Source organism: Homo sapiens, chromosome 9 (assembly GCF_000001405.40).
Source record: "Homo sapiens chromosome 9, GRCh38.p14 Primary Assembly".
Classification (NCBI taxonomy): domain Eukaryota; kingdom Metazoa; phylum Chordata; class Mammalia; order Primates; family Hominidae; genus Homo; species Homo sapiens.
Window position 1 is genome coordinate 26,064,517 of NC_000009.12, and position 20,812 is coordinate 26,085,328.

Sequence of the window (20,812 nt, forward strand, 5' to 3'; positions counted from 1 at the left end):
ATTAATTTTATTTTAACTGTGAACACAAGGTACTGTGGATCACAGACTGAGTTCTTATAAATTACCTCATAGTAAATAAGTTTATCACCTCACTCCCCTTGACCCTAGACCTTATTCTGGGAGTGACTTGGCAAAAGCCAGGTCAAATGTTCTATGCTAGCAGCTGGATATTCCATAGGTGAGAAACAGACATTTTTTTCTCCATTTATGTTCAGAAAAAAGGCAGCCATCACATTCCTCCTGAAAGAAGAGAAAAAAATTTTGTGGATGGAATAATGATCCCTTTGAGATTAGATAGAAAAGATCCTGACTTCTCACTCTAACCTTTTGAAATGTAAATACATCCTTCTGGGTGCTAGACAAATCACTGGGTATCTTTTAAACTTCTAAGACACAAAGATGTCTTCGAGGTCTGGGCTTCATCTTTCCTAAAATGGAAATACTTTAAGGAGATATTGTTCTAGTCTCCCTGACACCTTGAGTCTTAATGTAAAAACCTAGTCCAAACTATAACCATTTGGCACTCTCAGATCAGAGCAATCAAGCAGATAAATGGCCACAGATCTAATTCTCATAAGTGAAGAGTAAAATATTCCTAGGGAAAGGGAAAACATTGTATATACTGTAAAATGTCTATGAGTCAGGAAGCTAGGACATTATATAAGAGTACTGAGGAATACAGAGAGCTTTTATTTCTCCACAACAGGCTACATCTAGACATCTACCAGAAAATGTTTAAGCCATTGTAATCACATATCTTTTATTAGCATGAAAATATAACTCCAAGTTCATAAAATGTTTGACTTTAAAGTAACAAAAATTTAGATAAAATCTAGCTTCCAGCTCAAAGGACTAGTGACTATCACAGCGCTAGAAACATATGAAACAATCAATACAGGATTACTGAATGCATGGAGAAATTAATGTGTTCATAAAAAGCAAATAGAAGCCACCCAAAATAACCCACATTACACAGCCAGCAAAGGTAGAAGCACAGGACTCAATATAATGGTTGCCTGAATAAATGCTTCCACTTTTACTGTCCTGTTTGGATTGCCCCTACTGTCTTGGTTTTATTTCAATACTAATCCCACACATTTGCATTTCTCTTTGAAAACATTCAATATTACCATCCTCAATATTCACCTAATGCAGGAATCAGCTTAAATATAGCTTATTCAGGGACAAATTGCAAGGTCATCTTAACTAAGTTAAATTATTTTACTATTTATTGCTTTAATACTGTTTATTTAACTTTCAGCAGCAATTATCACATTAAAATTGCCTATTAAAATCAACTAACATTACAGCTGGGTTGAAAGCTTGGTAAGAACCAGGGACACATTCGTGTTACAACTGACTGAATTCCCAGCATTTAGCTCAGTCAGTGCCTAACTTCTTTATTTTTTAAAAAATTAATTCCTCTGTCTCTTTTATTTTTCTTTCACAAAATGTTATTCATTATTTCCCAACAACAGTCAGAAAATGATCTGCTGTAACTTTGGTGGCATTTTTAAAATTGCATTATTTTCTAGCCATGAATCATTGTCCTATGGTTGTCTACTTTGCGACATAGCAGTGGACAAAATTACACTCCACAAAAAAAAGAGACGAAAGCAGATGATATAGCCCTAGAGAACTGATTTCCTGCTTCAAATACGTTTCCTGATTGAAGATTGCACACCTAGGAGGTGAGATGAGAGAGCTATTCTATAAAAGTGTCCAGCAGATGTACTGCAGTAATTCCCACTGTATTCATCATTTACTGAATTGCTCACACACCAGAGGTATAATCCAATGTAAATGATCTCATCACCCATCAGTATGAGGGCTCAAAAATTCAGCTTGGCCTCAAGCTAAAACTTGACATTTCAAGGTTTTCAAATCCACAGTAAGTAAGCAGTATGTTGATGACTTCCAAACGTCTCTTCTGAAACAGCACCAGCTTTTGAGAAATGCAGGTGTTTGGGATCTAGAAATAGAAGTGGCCAGCTGCCCTTGAGGTGCTTGGGGCACAGTTCCATATTTCCTACCCCTGATTTGGCCCTGAGCAAGGAACATTTTGTGCAGAAAATAATAGAGTTGACACCATTTGCATTCTGCTCATACAAATACTAAAGAATTAAATTTAAAAGGTTCATTTTAAAAGTATCCCTTCTTGCAGTTTCACTGGCATTGCTCTATGTGGAAGACATAAGGCATTCTCATGCTGTGAAATCAGAAGAACACAGAGACTCTCCAGATTGGCAGAGAATTTGAGAGACCACTCATGCATGAACACACTCCAAATAAAGGGGTATTGGACCTGAGGTAAGTTCACTAGCCCTTCTGAGTTGTGTTTCTTGAACTATGAAAGGAGAGAACCAGGCTAAATCATTTTACATATTCTTTCTGTATTTAACATTTTCTGATGTCATGATTCTGGCCAAGATTACACTGAGAATAATTTCACTCAGGAACATTATTGATCACCTCCTTCATTAATTCCATGTAAATTTTGTGGTATATTTATTGGACAAAACTTCGGCTTGTCATATATACCTGCAATCTAGGTTTTCTTGTACCATAGCACTTCCCAGCGGTGTGATCTTGACCAAAACACTTATTCTCCTAAATTTTCAGATTTTTTTTTTTTACTGTAAAATGGAAACAAAAATAATTCCATAAGGTTAAAGACAAAACTAGATGATAAGTTCCTGGAGATAACTAATTTTTCAAGAGATGTTCATTCTTTCTTTAACACAATCCCCTTAACAGCTTGTATTTTCAAGCATCTAAAATATATATAAAAAATTACAATAAACACATTTTTATTATGTATTTAACTCATTTCTAGTGGCTCCTGGGTTTTTTCCATTGCAAGCTGCATTTTCTCACTTCCTTATCTACCCCCTGATTGCAATTTACAGCATTACTTTATTCTATAATGTTATGCCATAATGTTAAGCTCATCATTCTTAGCTCCAAATGACAGATAATCAACTTGAATTACCTAAGAATAAAAGGGGTTAAGGTGTTTATTGAAATGACATTGCAGTGGCCTGACAAAGGAAAATCAATAGGTACTAAATAACTCAAAAACCTATGGTTTTAAAATCTTTCTCTTTCTCTCTCCCCTCCACTAGCAGTTATTTCTTATCTTCAGGATTATCCACATTACAGCGAATAAGCCTGCTGGCAATTCTTGTCATAGTCTTATAACTAGTTAACAGGAAAAAAAATAGAACTTCTCTTTCCTAGCTTCAGTATTTAACAAAAAATGCAAATTATTCTGATTGGTCTACTTTGATCATATGTTTACTGCCTGGACCAATCACAGAAGTCAGAACTGTGATCTTATAAATGGCTCAACTTAAGCTACACACCCCCTGTAGCAAGTGGAGATAGAGTCTGTTTCAGCAAGAGGTGAGGTAAAATGTGCAAAATAAACAACACTGTCAGGTGTTCTTGGAGCTTTGTGAAGTGACTAATTGCAATCCTAGCTGTGGACCTCTAGGAGAATAAAACTAAACATATACCAAACAGAATTGCTTATAAAATATCCTATATCCTACTATCTCCTTATGATTTGGAAATTATAATTGGGGGAGAGAATGGATATAAAGTGTTTGTGTTTGTTATTGAATATTATTTTTCCTTTTTGATATGGTAAATGGGAAAAATTACTATAGATAGCCATTTGTAGAAACATGCCTTAATTTCAAGGACATAAAGAAAACCATTTTACTTCTTCAAATGTTTCCTCAATAACATCTAAATTCCCTTTAGTGGGTAAACTCAACAGTCTTGATTTTACATGAAATAGATACTATCCTAGAGGATATAGCTCACTGAGAAATTCAAATAAAGGTAGAAATGATTGAGTCAACTTCTTTTCCAAAAACGAAGTGTAGATGAAAAGTAGAGGAGAGTCTGTATAGGGTTACGTAAAAGGGAGTGGTGTGAGGTATACAATTAAAGATATGATTGAAGATTTGAATGGGAATAGAAAAAGACTGTCTTATTAACTGACTAAAAATAGTTCTGTCCATTAATAACCAAGGATGCACTGAGCTTTCTAAAACTATTGCTCATTTTCTAATTAAACCCAAAAGTATTCTTGTGAAGTGTCTAAGAGCCAGCGGTAATTATCCCCATTTTGTGAATAAAGGAACACAGTGCCTGAAAGGTGAAGCAGTTTAAGTGTATAATCAAATCAGTAACACTTAAGAACAGACTCAGAAGGTGATGAATAGAGTATGCCTTTTTATTTTATTTTATTTTATTTTATTTTACTTTATTTTATTTTACTTTATTTTATTTTATTTTATTTTACTTTTGCGTGTAGAGATGCCAGTACATAGGCAAGTCAGCTGGAGTATGGAAGACAGAAAGTTGGAAGTAGAAAACTTAGATTTAAGTGCGGTTTTCCCACATGCAAAGACCAGAACTTGGGCAAGGCACTTTCACTTTATTTCATTATCTATGAACCGGAAATAACTGATCACTTTATAGCACTGTAGAGATAATTAAATGAGACATGGAGAAGAGGTGATGGGGAACTCATCGTTCCTCCTTTTCTTGCCAACTCTTTCTGCAATGACAGTGTTCCTCTTTGACCAGGGCCAAGAAGTTATTTCAGGCCTCAATCTTAGCAGGTGGCACTTCCAAGGTTTCACAAGGTGTAGTGCCCATGAATGTTACAGTTCCTAGCCATGACCTGAGCACTCTAAAATGTGAAGTCTGCCTGTTGAAATGTAAAGATCTTTTTCTTCCTGTATCAGAACCTTTGGGACAGTTTAAAGAACATTCTGGGTAAGTTCTAAGTCAATTTTCTTGACCCTTTCATTTTACAGACATGGAAGCCCAGAGAGGGTATATGTCATGTCATACCCAACTTAACAGTAAATTAATGAAAAAATTAAGGCCAATTAGATACTCTTTATTCTAAGATCATAGTCCTATCATGTATAGTTTTATATTTTTAAAGATATTCTTTCTCCAGGTATATGAAAGTATTTTAGTCTATTTACATTACTAAAAAGGAGTACTTGAGGCTGGGTAATTTATAAAGAAAACATGTTTTTTTGGCTCACAATTCTATAGACTGTACAAAAAGTGTGGCACTGGCATCTGCTTTTGGTGAGGGTCTCAGGAAGTTTACAATTATGGTGCAAGGTAAAGGAGGAGCAGGAGCATCACATGGCAAAAGGGGGAGTGAGAAAGAAAGTGGGGTGCCACACTCTTTTAAACAACCAGATCTCAAGTGGACTCGAGTAAGAGCTCACCTGTTACTGTGAGAAGGGTACTAAGCCATTCATTCATGAGGGATCTGCCCCCATGACCCAAACACACCCCACTAGGCCCCACTCCAACATTGGAGATTACCTTTCAACATGAGCTTTGGAGCAGACACACATCCAAACAATCTCAGTAAGGAAGATAGGTTGAAGCACTTTTAGTAACACAAAAAATAAAAGTTCAGCATAGGTTCCCTGAGCCAATTATATTTCTCCTTGCTAGAAACTAAACTAGCAAGAAGTCTAACTATAGTATCTCAGCTCCATACTCTACAATACAAAAAATGGTATAGAAGACAGCTGGAATTGTGCCAAGATGCCAATAGAAAGTCTGGCACAAAAGCCAAGGGATGTATGTCATACACATAGATTCCTCTGCATGGTACAGCCCAGCTCATTAGAATTTCACTTGTGGTTTGAGGTCAGAACTTTGAGTATTAATGTTCATTTGTGCAAAGTCTCTCTCACATATCTTCTCTTCAGAGCCCTTGTAGAAGTGGCTCAATATCAAGAATCAGGTAATCCTTGATCCCAGGACTAATACCAACTTATAGCCCTAAATAGAACTAACATACACAAAAACCCCTTGTGAAACATAAGGCATAGCCTAAAACTTTACTCCTAAATCCAGGCTTTCCCTTAGGCTTTCTCAGCTTTAAGGAAGAAAGTGAAATGTTTTCATTTCCTTTAACATTTTCCTACTGAGCCAATTACAGTTTCACCACTCAGGGAATACTGGCTGAAGATATTCTCTCTTATAATGACACAAAGGAAAAAGGCTGGTGAACCTGTGTAGACCATAATAAACCAAACCTCCAAATAGGCTGATCCAACATCAAAATAATTTCCAAAAATGACATAATGTTTTGAAAATTAAAGTGATTCTTTTTCTGCTAATTATCTGTTACTCTTTATTGTCATCTATTTAGTCCATACCATTTGGAAGAGTGATGATTAAGTAGAAGACTTAATCATCAATCGACAATTGACAATCGTCAGTCAACAAATTGACGAGATAAATTCTTAGCCTTTGAATTTCAAAATATGAGTTTGAAATACATGACAGAGACAAATTTTTGAAGGAAAAAAGCTCTTAATTTGTAAGAAACTTAGCTTTGAATAAAAAGACCAGAATCCTGACAGATTCAAAGCATAAAGTCTATACAAAAGCGATAGACATGGAAGAATAAGTGATCAGTCTGATAGTGTTTTTTGCATGAACTCGTGCTAAATGAAGAATTAGAATTTAGACAGAGCCAAAGGGAAGAAATTAGATCTTTGTGTATGCCCAAAGAAAAGTACTTGCACTGTGTCTTTTTATTCATGTCTTCCCTAAACTGATTCCCAGTGTGATGTGGGCAATGAGACTTCTAATTGAATTTTAGGATCCAAGAACTCAAGGAGCAACTGAACTTCAACCTGGGTGAATTTCTGAGACTTTTAAAGTCTTGATAAGCATCCTTCTGCCAGCATGGTGTAGAGACCTATAATGGCTTCCTAGAACTGTTCTGTCAAAATACCACAAACTCGGTGACTTAAAGCAATAGAAGGTTATTATATCACAGTTTTGGAGGCTAAAAGTCCAAAATCAAAGTGTTAGCATGGCCATGCTATCTCTGAGATTCTGAGTAGAATGCTTTCTTGCCTCTTCTTAGCATCTGGCAGCGGCCAGCATCCTCGGTGCTTCTTGTCTTTGTAGATTCATCACTCCAACAGCTACCTCTGTCATCACATGGCTGTCATCCACCTGTGTGTCTCTGTCTTTACATCATCTTCTTATAAAGACACTAGTTATATTGGATTAAGGCCAATTCTAATGACCTCATCTTAATTGGATTACATCTATGAAGACACTATTTCCAAATCAGATGACACTCACAGATACCAGGCAGGGTCTGAGACTTATATCTTTTGTGGGGAATATAATTACAGGGTCATAGAATAAAAATGTTTGTCCTATATGTTTATACAAATGTCCTTTCAAACCTGAAGAGAGTTTTTGTAGGCCAGAGGAAGACTTGAAAACAATTATTTCTGTACCCCACCTCAACAGTAATATGGAAATAGCAACAGACAGGTTTGGAACTAGTAAGCACTCATTAACAGGATAAAGTATATGCGGCTGTCATTTATGCGCCCAAAGACCATTTGAGAACATGAATTTCTCAGCAGATTAAAGCACAGAGACAATGAGGCCCACAGATAAGATGGGATAATGTAAATTTAAGAGAATATCAGTGTGGAAGTTAACTAAGAATTATTAGATTCCGCTATACTTAATTTATCTTAATGCCTTCATGATACTCGAAGCCCTCTACAAAGTAGATCTTATATGGTCCCTAGAGAGAAAAAGCTTTCTTTTTTTTATTTCTTCTAAAAAAAAAAACTGGATACATGTGCAGAACGTGCAGGTTTGTTACACAGGTCTATGTGTGCCACTGTGATTTGCTGTACCTATTGACTCATCCTCTAAGTTCCCTCCCTCACTCACCACCCCCCAATAGGCCATGGTGTGTGTTGTTCCCTTCTCTGTGTCCATGTGTTCTCAGTGTTCCCACTTATAAGTGAGAACATGCAGTGTTTGGTTTCCTGTTCCTGTGTTAGTTTGCTGAGAATGATGGTTTCCAGCTTCATCCATGTCCCTGCAAAGGACATGATATCATTCTTTTTTTATGGCTGCATAGTATTCCGTGGTGTATATGTGCCATATTTTCTCTATCCAGTCTATCATTGATGGGCATTTGGGTTGGTTCCATGTCTTTGCTATTGTAAATAGTGCTGCAATAAACATACATGTGCATCTATCTTCATAGTAGAATGATTTACAATCCTTTGGGTGTATACCCACTAATGGGATTGCTGGGTAAAACAGTATTTCTGGTTCTAGATCCTTGAGGAATCGTCACACTATCTTCCACAATGGTTGAACTAATTTACATTCCCACCAACAGTGTAAAAGCATTCCTATCTATCCACATCCTCTCCAGCATCAGTTGTTTCCTGACTTTTTAATAATCGCCATTCTGACTGACATGAGATGGTATCTCATTGTGGTTATGATTGCATTTATCTGATGATCAGTGATGTTGAGCTTTTTTTTATATGTTTGTTGGCCACATAAATGTCTTCTTTTGACAAGTGTCTGTTCATATCCTTTGCCCACTTTTTGATGGGATTGTTTTTTTCATGTAAATTTATTTAAATTCCTTGTAAATTCTGGATATTAGACCTTTGTCAGAGGGTAGATTATAAAAATTTTTTCCCATTCTGTAGGTTGCCTGTTCACATTGATGATAGTTCCTTTTGCTGTGCAGAAGCTCTTTATTTTACTTAGATCTCATTTGTCAATTTTGGCTTTTGTTGCCATTGCTTTTGGTGTTTTAGTCATGAAGTATTTGCCCATGCCTATGTCCTGAATGGTATTGCCTAGCTTTTCTTCTAGGGTTTTTATGGTTCTGTGTTTTACATTTAAGTCTTCAATCCATCTTGAGTTAATTTCTGTGTAAGGTGTAAAGAAGGGGTTCAGTTTCAGTTTTCTGCATATGGCTAGCCACTATTCCCAAAAGTATTTACTGAATAGGACATTCTTTCTGCATTGCTTCTTTTTGTCAGGTTTGTTAAAGATCAGATGGGTATAGAGGTGTGGTGTTATTTCTGAGGTCTCTGTTCTGCTCCCTTGGTCTATGTGTCTATTTTGGTACCAGTACCATGCTGTTTTGGTTACTGTAGCCTTGTAGTGTAGTTTGAATTTGGGTAGCATGATACCTCCAGCTTTATTCTTTTTGCTTAGGATTGTCTTGGATACATAGTGTCTTCTTTGATTCCATATGAAATTTAAAATTTTTTTCTAATTCTTTGAAGAATGTCAATGGTAGTTTGACAGGAATAGCATTGAATCTATAAATTACTTTGGGCAGTATGGGAATTTTCATGATATTTATCCTTCCTATCCATGAGGATGGAATGCTTTTCCCATTTGTTTGTGTCCTCTCTTACTTCCTTGAGCAGTGGTTTGTAGTTCTCCTTAAAGAGATCCTTCACATTCCTTGTTAGCTGTATTTCTAGATATTTTATTCCCTTTGTTGCAATTGTGAATGGGAGTTCATTCATGATTTTGCTCTCTGCTTGCCTATTGTTGGTGTAAAGAAATGCTTGTGATTTTTGCACACTGATGTTGTATCCTGAGACTTTGTTGAAGCAACTTATCAGTCCAAGAAGTGTTTGGGCTGAGGTGATGGAGGTTTCTAAATATAAAACCGTGACATCTTCAAACAGAAACAACTTGACTTCCTCTCTTCCTATTTGAATACCTTTATTTCTTTCTCTTTCCTGATTGCCCTGTCCAGAACTTCCAATACTATGTTGAATCAGAGTGAGAGAGGGCATCCTTGTCTTGTACCAGTTTTCAAAGGGAATGCTTCCAGTTTTTGCCCATTCAATATGATATTGGCTGTGGGCTTGTCATAAGTAGCTCTTATTATTTTGACATATGTTCCATCAATACCCAGTTTATTTGGAGTTTTTAACACGAACGATGTTGAATTTTATTGAAGGCCTTTTCTGCATCTATTGAGATAATCATGTGCTTTTTGTCTTTGGTTCTGTTTATGTGATAGATTACACTTATTGATTTGCATATGTTGAACCAGCCTTTTATCCTAGGGATGAAGCTGATCATGGTGGATAAGTTTTTTGATGTGCTGCTGGATTTGGTTTGCCAGTATTTCTGAGGAGTTTGCATCTATGTTCATCAGGGATATTGACCTGAAGTTTTCTTTTCTTGTTGTGTCTCCTCCGGTTTTGGTATCAGGATAATGCTGGCTTCATAAAATGACTTAGGGAGTCATTTAGGGAAAAATTTAAAGAATTTTTCAATTCTTTAAAATAGTTTTGGAAGGAATGGCACCATCTACTCTTTGTATTTCTGGTAGAATTCAGCTGTGAATCTGTCTGGTCCTGGGCTTCTTTTGGTTGGTAGGCTATTAATTATGCCTCAATTTCAGAGCTTGTTATTGGTCTACTCAGGGATTCAACTTCTTCCTTTAGTCTTGGTAGGGTGTAGGCACCCAGGAATTTATTCATTTCTTCTAGATTTTCTAGTTTATTTGCACAGAGGTGTTTATAGTATTCTCTGATGGGAGTTCATATTGCTGTGGGGTCAGTGGTGATATCCCCGTCCTCATTTTTTATTGTGTCTATTTGATTCTTTTCTCTCGTATTAGTTTAGCTATCTATCTATCTATCTATCTATCTATCTATCTATCTATATATTTTTTTTTTCAAAAAAACAGCTCCTGGATTCATTGATTTTTTTTTGGAGGATTTTTCATGTCTGTATGTCTTTCAATTCTTCTCTGATCTTAGTCATTTTTTGTCTTCTGCTAGCTTTTGGATTTGTTTGCTCTTGCCTCTCTAGCTCTTTTAACTGTGAGCTTAGGGTACTGATTTGAGATCTTTCTAGCTTCCTGATCTGGGAATTTAGTGCTATAAATTTCCCTCTTAACACTGCTTTAGCTGTGTCTCAGAGATTCTGGTACATTGTCTCTTTGTTCTCATTGGTTTCAAAGAACTTCTTGATTTCTGCCTTAATTTCATTATTTACCCAGGAGTCATTTAGGAGCAGGTGGTTCAATTTCCATGAAATTGTGTGGTTTTGAGTGAGTTTCTTAATCCTGAGTTCTAATTTGATTGCAGTGTGGTCTGAGAGAATGTTTGTTATGATTTCAGTTGTTTTGCATTTGCTGAGTAGTATTTTACTTCCAATTATGTGGTCGATTTTAGAATAACTGCCATGTGGCACTGAGAAGAATGTATATTCTGTTGATTTGGGGTGAAGAGTTCTGTAGACATCTACTAGGTCTACTTGATCCAGAGCTGAGTTCGAGTCCTGAATATCCTTGATAATTTTCTGTCTCATTGATCTGTCTAATACTGGAGGGGCATTAAAGTCTCCCACTATTATTGTGTGGGAATCTAATTCTCTTTGTAAGTCTCTAAGAACTTCTTTTATGAAGATGGGTGCTCCTGTATTGGGTGCATATATATTTAGAATAGTTAGCTCTTCTTGTTGAATTGTTCTCTTCACCATTATGTAATGCCTTATTTGTCCTTTTTGATCTTTGTTGGCTTAAAATCTGTTTTGTCAGAGACCAGGATTACAACCTCAGCTTTTTTTGTTTTCCATTTGCTTGTAAGTTTTCCTCCATCCCTTTATTTTGAGCCTGCTTGTGTCTTTGCACCTGAGATGGGTCTCCTGAATATAGCACACCAATGGGTCTTGACTCCTTATCCAATTTGCCAGTCTGGTTCTTTTAATTGGGGCATTTAGCCCATTTACATTTAAAGTTAGTATTGTTATGTGTGAATTTGATCCTGTCATCATGATGCTATTTGGTTATTTTCCACATCAGTTGATGCAATTTCTTCATAGTGTCATTGGTCTTTATATTTTTGTATGTTTTTGCAGTGACTGGTACAGGTTTTTCCTTTCCATATTTAGTGCTCATTTCAGGAGCTCTTGCAGGGCAGGTCTGGTGGTAACAAAATCCCTCAGCATTTGTTTGCCTGTAAAGGAATTTATTTCTCTTTCACTTATGAAGCTTAGTTTGGCTGGATATAAAATTCTGGGTTGAAAATTCTTTAAGAATGTTGAATATTGGCCCCCAACGTCTTCTGGCCTAATAGAGTTTCTGCTGAGAGATCTGCTGTTAGTCTGATAGGCTTCCCTTTGTAGGTGACCTGGCCTTTCTCTCTGGCTCCACTTTACAGTTTTTCCTTCATTTCGACTTTGGAGAATCTGATGATTATGTGTCTTGGGGTTGATCTTCTCATGGAGCATCTTAATGGGTGCTCTCTGTATTTCCTGAATTTGCATATTGGCCTGTCTTCCTAGCTTTGTGAAGGTCTCCTGTATAATATCCTGAAATATGCTTTCCAGCTTGTTGCAGTCTCCCTGTCTCCTTATGGTACTCCAATCAACTGTAGGTTCAGTCTTTTTATGAAGTCCCATATTTCTCAGAGGCTTTCATTATTCCTTTTCATTCTTTTTTCTCTATTCTTGTCTGCATGTCTTATTTCAGTAAAGTGGTCTGCAAACTCTGATATCCTTTTTTCCACTTGGTCAATTCCGCTGTTGATACTTGTGTATACTTCATGAAGTACTTGTGCTGGGTTTTTCAGCTCCATCATTTATGTTCCTCTCTAAACTGGTTATTCTAGTTAGCAATGCCTCTGTCCTTTTATCAAGGCTCTTAGCTTATTTGCTCTGGGTTAGAACATGCTCCTCTAGCTCATTGTAGTTTTTTATTACCCATCTTCTGAAGCCTACTTCAGTCAATTTGTCCACCTGATACACCATTCAGTTCTGTGCTCTTGATGGAGAGATGCTGCAGTCATTTGAAGGAGAAGAGGCACTCTGGCCTTTTGGGTTTTCCGCATGTTTTCATTGATTCTTTCTCATCTTCATGAGTCTGTCTAGTTTCAGTCTTCAACACTGCTGACCCTTGGATGAGGTTTTTGTGGGGGGCCTTTTTTGTTGTTGCTGTTTTTGATGCTGTTGTTGTCACTTTCTGCTTCTTTTTCTTTCAATAGTCAGGTCCCTCTTCTGTAGGGCTGCTGCAGTTTGCTGGGGATTCACTTTAGGCCCTATTCATCTGATTTGCTCCCGTGCCTGGAAATGTTACTCAAGGAGTCTGGAGAGCAGTAAAGATGGGTGCCTCCTCCTTCTTCTGGGACCTCTGACCTCAAGGGGCACCAACCTGATGCCAGTAGAATTGTTCCTGTAGAGGGTATCTGACAATCCCTGTTGGGGGATCTTACCCAGTTGGGTGGCACAGGGAGCAGGACGCATTTAATGAAGCACTTTGTCCCTTAGTGGAGAGGGTGTATTTTGCTGGGGGGAAAACCACTCATCTGGGCTGCCTGGAAGTCCTCAGAACTACCAGGAGGAGAGGCTAAATCTGCTGGTCCACAGAGACTGAGGCCACCCCTCCTTGTAGGGGCTCAGGCCCAGGGAGATCTGAATTTTGTCCCTGAGCCTCTGGCTGGAGTTACTGGAGATCCTGCAGGGAAGCACCACTCACTGAGGCAGGATGAGTCAGGGTTAGGCCTAAAGAGGCACTCTGGCCGCAGACTGCCACAGCCAGTGTGTTGGGCTGTGGGGACAAGTCTTGGGACAGAGCCGTCCAGCCTCCTGGCTCCAGCAGGGGAAAAGCGCAGCCTGGAGCTATAGAAATGGGTGCTACCCTTCCCCAGTCCAGGGAGCTTAACATGTTATGCAGTTGGGAGTCCCAGTGCTGGCTGGTGCCCTGCCCCCAAGGAGCTCAATAGCTTAGCTAGCAGGCAGCTGCAGCCAGTGCTGGTCACCCCTCCCCGCCCAGAGTTCTGTAGGCTTAATCAGATTCCATCTGAGAGGCTGTAAGAATCTGCACATTCTGGGGTTGGGATGCTAGGCCCCAGTGGCATGGGTTCAATGGGATCTTCCAATCCGTGGGTTGCACAGTTCCATGGAAAAAGCACAGTTTCCCCAGCTGGGTAGCGTGCTCACTCGCTGCCTTTCTTGGCTCGGGGAATAGGGTTCTCCCTCCCTTTGTGTCTCGCAGGTGGGCTGCCGCACCACACTGTTCCTTCTCTCAATAGGTCACACCAGCCTTCTTGTTAATTTTTATGAGAACCTGGATACCTTGATTGCCGGTGAAGGATTCACAGGCTTATTATGGTTTTTTTCGATGGGAGCCTCCAAACACGGCTGCTTCTAGTTGACATTTTGGCCCCACCCCTGAAAAGCTCTTAATTAAATGAATGAATTTATCCCAGAATGACTAAGATTAAATATTTTCCCATTAGACTAAACAAGAAGCCCAAGAAAAAAATTGCATTCTTATTGAGGAAACAAAGAAAGTGACATTTCTTGTCAACTTTAGTTTGTGATCTGAGATTTATGTGTTACCAATATAATGAGAGGTGGAAAAACGCTCTGGGACCCACTTAGGCAAAGCTACATCAATACAAAACTGTCTTACATAAGACATGCTGCCAATGTAAAAATAAAGAACATATTAGACAGAAACACTGAAACATGGAGAGCTATAATTTCATGGGAATCCTGTGGGCTCTAAAGTGTGTATCACAGAGGTAAAGACTATAATCAAACCCAGCTGCTTTTATTCTGGCATTACCTATCATTTTCGTTTTGACAAGGGAAGACCGTTTCACTACATTGATCATGATACAGTTTCCAAACGCTGATTCATTGCACACACACAGCTTGTGCCCCATGAAATTGTGAACACTATATAAATGATGCAAGAAAAGATGGCATGTTTGTGAGTTGAAACATTATGTAGATAAAACCACAATAGGTTTGTGGATACAGAGTTTAGATAATGAGAGTGACAGCTTTACATATGACAAATTTATCTTTCAGCCTCAGTCTCATGCTAGCTGATTGATCTTGGGCAAGTAACTTAATATTTATAAACTTCGGTTTCCTAAGGTGCCAAATGACCATGATAATAGTACAAATCTCACATAATCAAGAGATGTAAGTGAGATAATACATACATAGCACTCAGCACAGTGCCTGGCACATAGTATGCTTCCAACAGATGTGAGTTAAATTATTTTATTCTTTTTTTGTTCATCTAAATCAAGCATTGTCTTTAAAATGACATGTGAAATAAAGGATAAAGTTGCATTTTTGCCTGTTTTAGAATTTATCAAATTATGTAATATTGGGTTTATTAATGGAGCTATTTTTCATGTACAATTTAACTAGATTAGATACTGGGTAGATTAGATACTGGGTGACCTCTAATGCCCTTTCCATGTCTGAAATTGTACAGTTTGTAGGGATAAACAGTTGATCTGATATAGCTGACTTCAAATCATACCGTTTTCTACCTTTATAAGACTTTAACAAGTATCTGTTATTTAACCAAACCCAAGAATCAGTAAGAAAATAAGGCCCTGATCAGTCAACTAAGCTACCAATTACTTTCCCACTGTTTACTTACATTTTCCACAATCTCAGACACACTGCTCTTGATTCTTATTTATTATTCTTCGTTGGTATTAAATGCTAAATTAGAAGTTTCAAACTAATCATTTAGTTACTACATCTAGTTATGCCAGAATGTCAAGATATTTCCTGCTAGGTTAAATATCACAATTAATAAGTATAATTGTTGTCCCTTCATTCTGCTTTTAAGCACATGGAGTGCAAGAATCTATCATTCTGAACTCTGTGGTCATCACGGTCTTCTTGTGCATATTTTCTTTTATCTCTAAGACTCAGAGATATAAGACCAGGGCCCAGCATTTATTTATCCTTATCCCAGGTACTCAGCATAATACTTGGAGTATAATAATTAATGAATATTTGTAGGATCACTTAATAGGAATATGTGTGTGTCTGTGTGTGTGTGTAAACTAATGAATATTTGTAGGATCACTTAAAAGGCGTGTGTGTGTGTGTGTGTACTCAACTTATTTAGTTTATCAAGGTTTAATCATATGAAATTGACTTTTTCCACTCAAAAAAATAGAAAAAATAAAAAATTTTAACCTAAATGGTAAATGCCCATTATAGGCATAATTTCTAACTCTCATTTAAGTGAGGCAGTTATCAATGTTGATGAAAACAAGTTATTCAATTCATGGGTTTTTTTCATCTCACTTAATCTCCTTCTTATTTCTATCTTAATCTGCTTTCAGGACTATGTCTTGATTAAGTGCTATTCTTTAGTTCACTCAACCATTCATTTGAAAAATATTTATTGAGCATATTTGCAACAGGAACACTAGGTTCTAGGGATAAATTTATGAGCAAAACTAGTTGGGGTTCGTGTTCTAATGAAGACTTTAGCCTAGTGAGGTAGACAGACATTAATCAAATAATCACACTTATATAAGCTGAAAATAAATATTGTTTTAGAAGACTGCATCAGAAAAGAATTGATCTTGCCAGATGCATTACTCACGCCTGCAATTACAGCACTTTGAGAGACCAAAGTGGGAGGATTGTTTGGGCCCAGGAGTTTGAGACTAGCCTGGGCAACATAGTGAAACCCCATTTCTACAAAAAATTAAAAAATTAGCTAGGCATCGTGGCACACATCTGTAACTCCAGCTACTCCAGGGGCTAAGGTGGAAGGATCCCTTGAGTCCAGGAGGTCAAGGCTGCAGTGAGCTGTGACCACTCAAGAACAGATCCTAACTGGTAAGTGTAAATGATGGCTTCTCAGAGGAAGTGTCACTTATATTGAAAATTAAAGAATAAATATTAATAGATGCCACAACAACACTTCTGTTTATAAAAATTGAGCCACCAGATATTGATATTCTAAGCATAGCTCCAGTAAACTAGCCATTGTATATTGAAATATTTTATAATAGTTTGAGAAAGAGAAAAAGTAGGTTTTGATAGTGAACAATATATACAAAGTAATGGAAAAGAAAATGGGACATGTGAGAAACTGAGAGAAATATGGTTGAAGGATCTTTGATAAGACTAGAAATGTATGCAGAGACTAGACCATTAGGGATTTTCATCATAATCTTCAGCGAAGTGGAAGGATATTAAATTCTTTAATTATTGGTGCACTTTTATATCACTCTGGCTATAGCATATATGATGGCTGGCGGTGAGAAATGCAGAAATTCAGTTAAGTGGACTATTGCAATAGTTAGAGAGATGAAGTAGTATTAACAACCATGGGGGTAATGGTGGTGATGAAGAGAACTGTATAAACTTGAGAATTTGTTTGGAATACACATTTAACAGAAGACAATGGTAGATTGATTTTGGTCATTAGGATGAAAAATAAGTCAGAAGTAACTGAAAAATATTTTGGGGGGAAAATGTTATGAGGTCACTTTTGGACATGTTGAAGTTTTGTTTTAAACTTCTTTATAGAGATGTTGAGTGTGCAATTAGGTAACCGTATCAGGAACCCACAGTTGAGGTTTGATTAAATAAGTTGAATACACACACACACACACACACACACACATATATATATAGTCCTTTCACTATTTCACTACATATATATAATGTGTATGTGTATTCACTATATAGTGAAATTGTGTGTGTATGTGTAGTATAGTGTTTATGTGTGAGTAGTGTGTGTATGTGTAGTGAAATTGTGTGTGTATTCACTATACAGTGAAATAGTGTGTGTATTCACTATATATGTATATATATACATATGTATATATGTGTGTATATATACACACACGTGTATATATACATATATACACGTGCATACATACATATATACACGTGTATACATATATACACGTGTATATATACATATATAATATACACGTGTATATATACATATACATATATGTATATACACATATATACACCATATATACACATGTATATATACACACACATATACACATGTATATATACACACATATATACACATGTATATATATACATATATAGTGAATACACGTGTGTGTGTATATGTGTGTGTGTGTGTGTATATATATATAGTGAAATAGTGAAAAGAACTGGGGAGAGATCATTGTGAAGTAGATGACAGGTAATGCCTATAGTGTAGATGAAATTGCCTAGGCAGCAGGTTTAAAGTAAGAGGACCTGGAGGAATTTAACATGTTATTAGTGTGAAAGAAAAATAAATAAGAAGCATTCGTAGATAAATACGAAAGAAGAGAGAAGTTTCATGTTTCAGAACCCAAGAGAAAACTAGGTTTTCAGAGGTAGAGTGCTTCCCTGTGTCAAGTGTTTTTGTTTTTTTTTTTTGAGACGGAGTCTCGCTCTGTCGCCAGGCTGGAGTGCAGTGGCATGATCTTGGCTCACTGCAACCTCTGCCTCCTTGGTTCAGGCGATTCTTAGGCCTCAGTCTCCCGAGTAGCTGGGATTAGAGGCATGCACCACCACACCCAGCTAATTTTTGTATTTTTAGTAGAGACGCAGTTTCACCACATTGGCCAGGATGATCTCAATCTCCTGACCTCATGATCTGTCTGCCTCGGCCTCCCAAAGTGCTGGGATTACAGGCGCCAGCAACCGTGCCTGGCCAAGCTTTTTGTGAGATCAAGTAAGGTAAAGACTTGTAATGTTCAGGGGTCTCCAGTGGTCCTAGTTGACCAGATTTCCCAGGAGCAACTTCCCCCCTTCAATCTCATTTGTGCCAAAGATGTGATGTAAGCACCATCTCATGTTCAGTTTGTTTTGGCAGCACTTTCACAAGATGAATAGCGGCAGCAGGTCAGTGGCATGAGCCGAATGCAGTCAGGGGGTCAGATGACCCAGTGACTGAAGTGTCTCCATCTGGAGACCATTCTAAGAGTTTATGGGATTCGTCCCCTTTTCTTACACCTGTATTCAGTCTGGGTCCATTACCAGGTGTTTCTTTCATAAATGGAATTTAAGCATTTCTTGTAAGGGTAAACTTTTTAAGGTTTATGAAAGTTGCACCTGTCCTGAAGTGGCCTGGTCTCCTGAAATCCCCATGCCAGGGTTGGAAATCCCAGGGACGGGTTGCACGATACTGTAAGTGACATGTAGTGTCAATCCAGTGAGACACTTGGGTTGTCCTCATGACTATCATTAATCTTAGAGCCATGATATGTCTCTTACAGTATACTACAACTATAAAATATTTATTGACTATGATTAATTTAGGTCATGTGTCGGCATAGGGAGAGAAGTTTTGATAGTGTCAGTTTAGTAGATCGGGTTATGGAGGGAGTAAGCTGTGAGAAAATATAGACTTCAAGTACAGATAATTTACTGAGGAATTTTCCTTGGGAAACACTGAAGAGGGAAAAAAAGGACCTAGGTTGAAAAGATGTGCATAGAGAAGAAAGGGTTTTTTTTTTTAATAGAATAAACTTGTTTGAAGAGATGATACATGATAATACTTACATACATACATATACAGATTATAACAATCCAATTGAACATAAGAGAGAGGAGAAGGTCAAATGATAATATAAAATGTCTGAGCACTCAAGAGAGAATACGGTTGGAGATACAAGTGAAGGAATTGAGAAAAAGATGTTAGATAACAATATAAAATATATACAATAATGAAAACATTGATACATATAATAATGCTACCATGATGGTATGGTAAAGACGACTGCTATTACTTAATGCTTATTATGTGCCAATCACTGTTCCAATCACCTTTTGTGTTGCAGACAGATACATGTAAGTTGTAGGGTTGCTGCCAAAAAGCTGAAAGCACTTATTTCTGATGATATTATTAATCGCTATACAGCAAAAAGCAAAGTTATATAGTAATAGTGATGGGGACAGTGGGCTTTATAGGGAAAGATTGCTAGAGACCTAAGGAGCATGGGAAAGTTTGAAATTATTATTATAAAAATGAGAGAATGAATTGAAAACAAGAAGTATAGTGAAATTGTCAGGCAATGTTTTGGACATACTTGAAGCAAGTGATCATCAATTTATAGTGATTATCAATCTGCTTTGTGGTATCATTTTCTCCAATATTGCTCAATTGCTCAGATTTAATTAACTTTAAATCAGCCAACATTTATTGATGCCTACAGCACAATAGGGCAGTTTCAGATGCTGTGGGGAAAGTCTAGGCCTATCTCATAGGCCCAAAGTCTGGTTTTACTTACCCAAGATAATTAAAACTCCACATCTTAAGATTCTGGTTCTAAATTCAATGTAGCTGATGTTGGACAAATCCACTAACAAATAGTGATTGTAAACTCTGGACAAATATTAACACATGTATAACTCTTTAAAGGCACTGGGAAGCAAAGAATATCAGGGAGAAAGTACAGGAAATTCAGTCTTTCCTAGAAGTAAATTGCACAAGGTGAGAGCTACACTAATTCAGCCTTTCTCTTTAAAGCACTCAACAAACTACATAATAAGGGGTCCTTTGCACTCAAAAGGAAACTTACAGTCTTATTGACTTGAGAGGTCAAAGTACTGAGTTCAGGCCACAAAAGAAGCTAGCAATTGAGGTATTAAATTCTAGGAAGAGTGATCTGAGAGTTGGGGAGCAAGCCTAACTCTCCTAGAAATCCCTCAAATAATTGAAAGACCCTTGAATTATATGTGGAAAAAGAATCTAAGGACCCCAGTTGAATCTGGACATAAGCTTCAGTTGTCATCCATTACAGAAGACTTTGTCTGGAACTTGCATATCACCAAGTTAGAGTGGCTTGGATATTACCTTAGAGTTTTACTGATGGAAACTACATATACCACAGTCAAGAGAAAAAGCAATCAACACAAACAAATCTCAAGAGAATTTATATTCTAAAACAAAATAATAAAAAAGAACACAACTCAAATTCTAGTATTTAAAAGGATAATATCTGAAATAGATAAATTTCTGAATTAAATTCGTAAAAACTTGGAGACAACAGAAAAGATGCTCAGTGAACCTGAAGACATGTAAACATAAATCATCCTATCTGAAGAGCAGAGAGGAAAATAAATAAAAATACAAAGAGAACAGAACTTCAGTGACCTATAGGACAACATTAAACTAAATAATATACGTGGA

The 20,812-nt window shown here is 37.2% G+C and overlaps 1 long non-coding RNA gene across 1 annotated transcript in view; it reads left to right on the plus strand.

Annotated features, from left to right (window-relative positions):
* Positions 1-2,158: 2,158 nt before the first annotated feature.
* LINC03106 (long intergenic non-protein coding RNA 3106) overlaps positions 2,159-20,812 on the plus strand; it is a 51,734-nt gene continuing 33,080 nt past the window's right edge. Inside the window, exon 1 of the long non-coding RNA NR_170894.1 lies at positions 2,159-2,310. This is a non-coding gene — a long non-coding RNA (long intergenic non-protein coding RNA 3106). The remainder of the gene's footprint in view (positions 2,311-20,812) is intronic.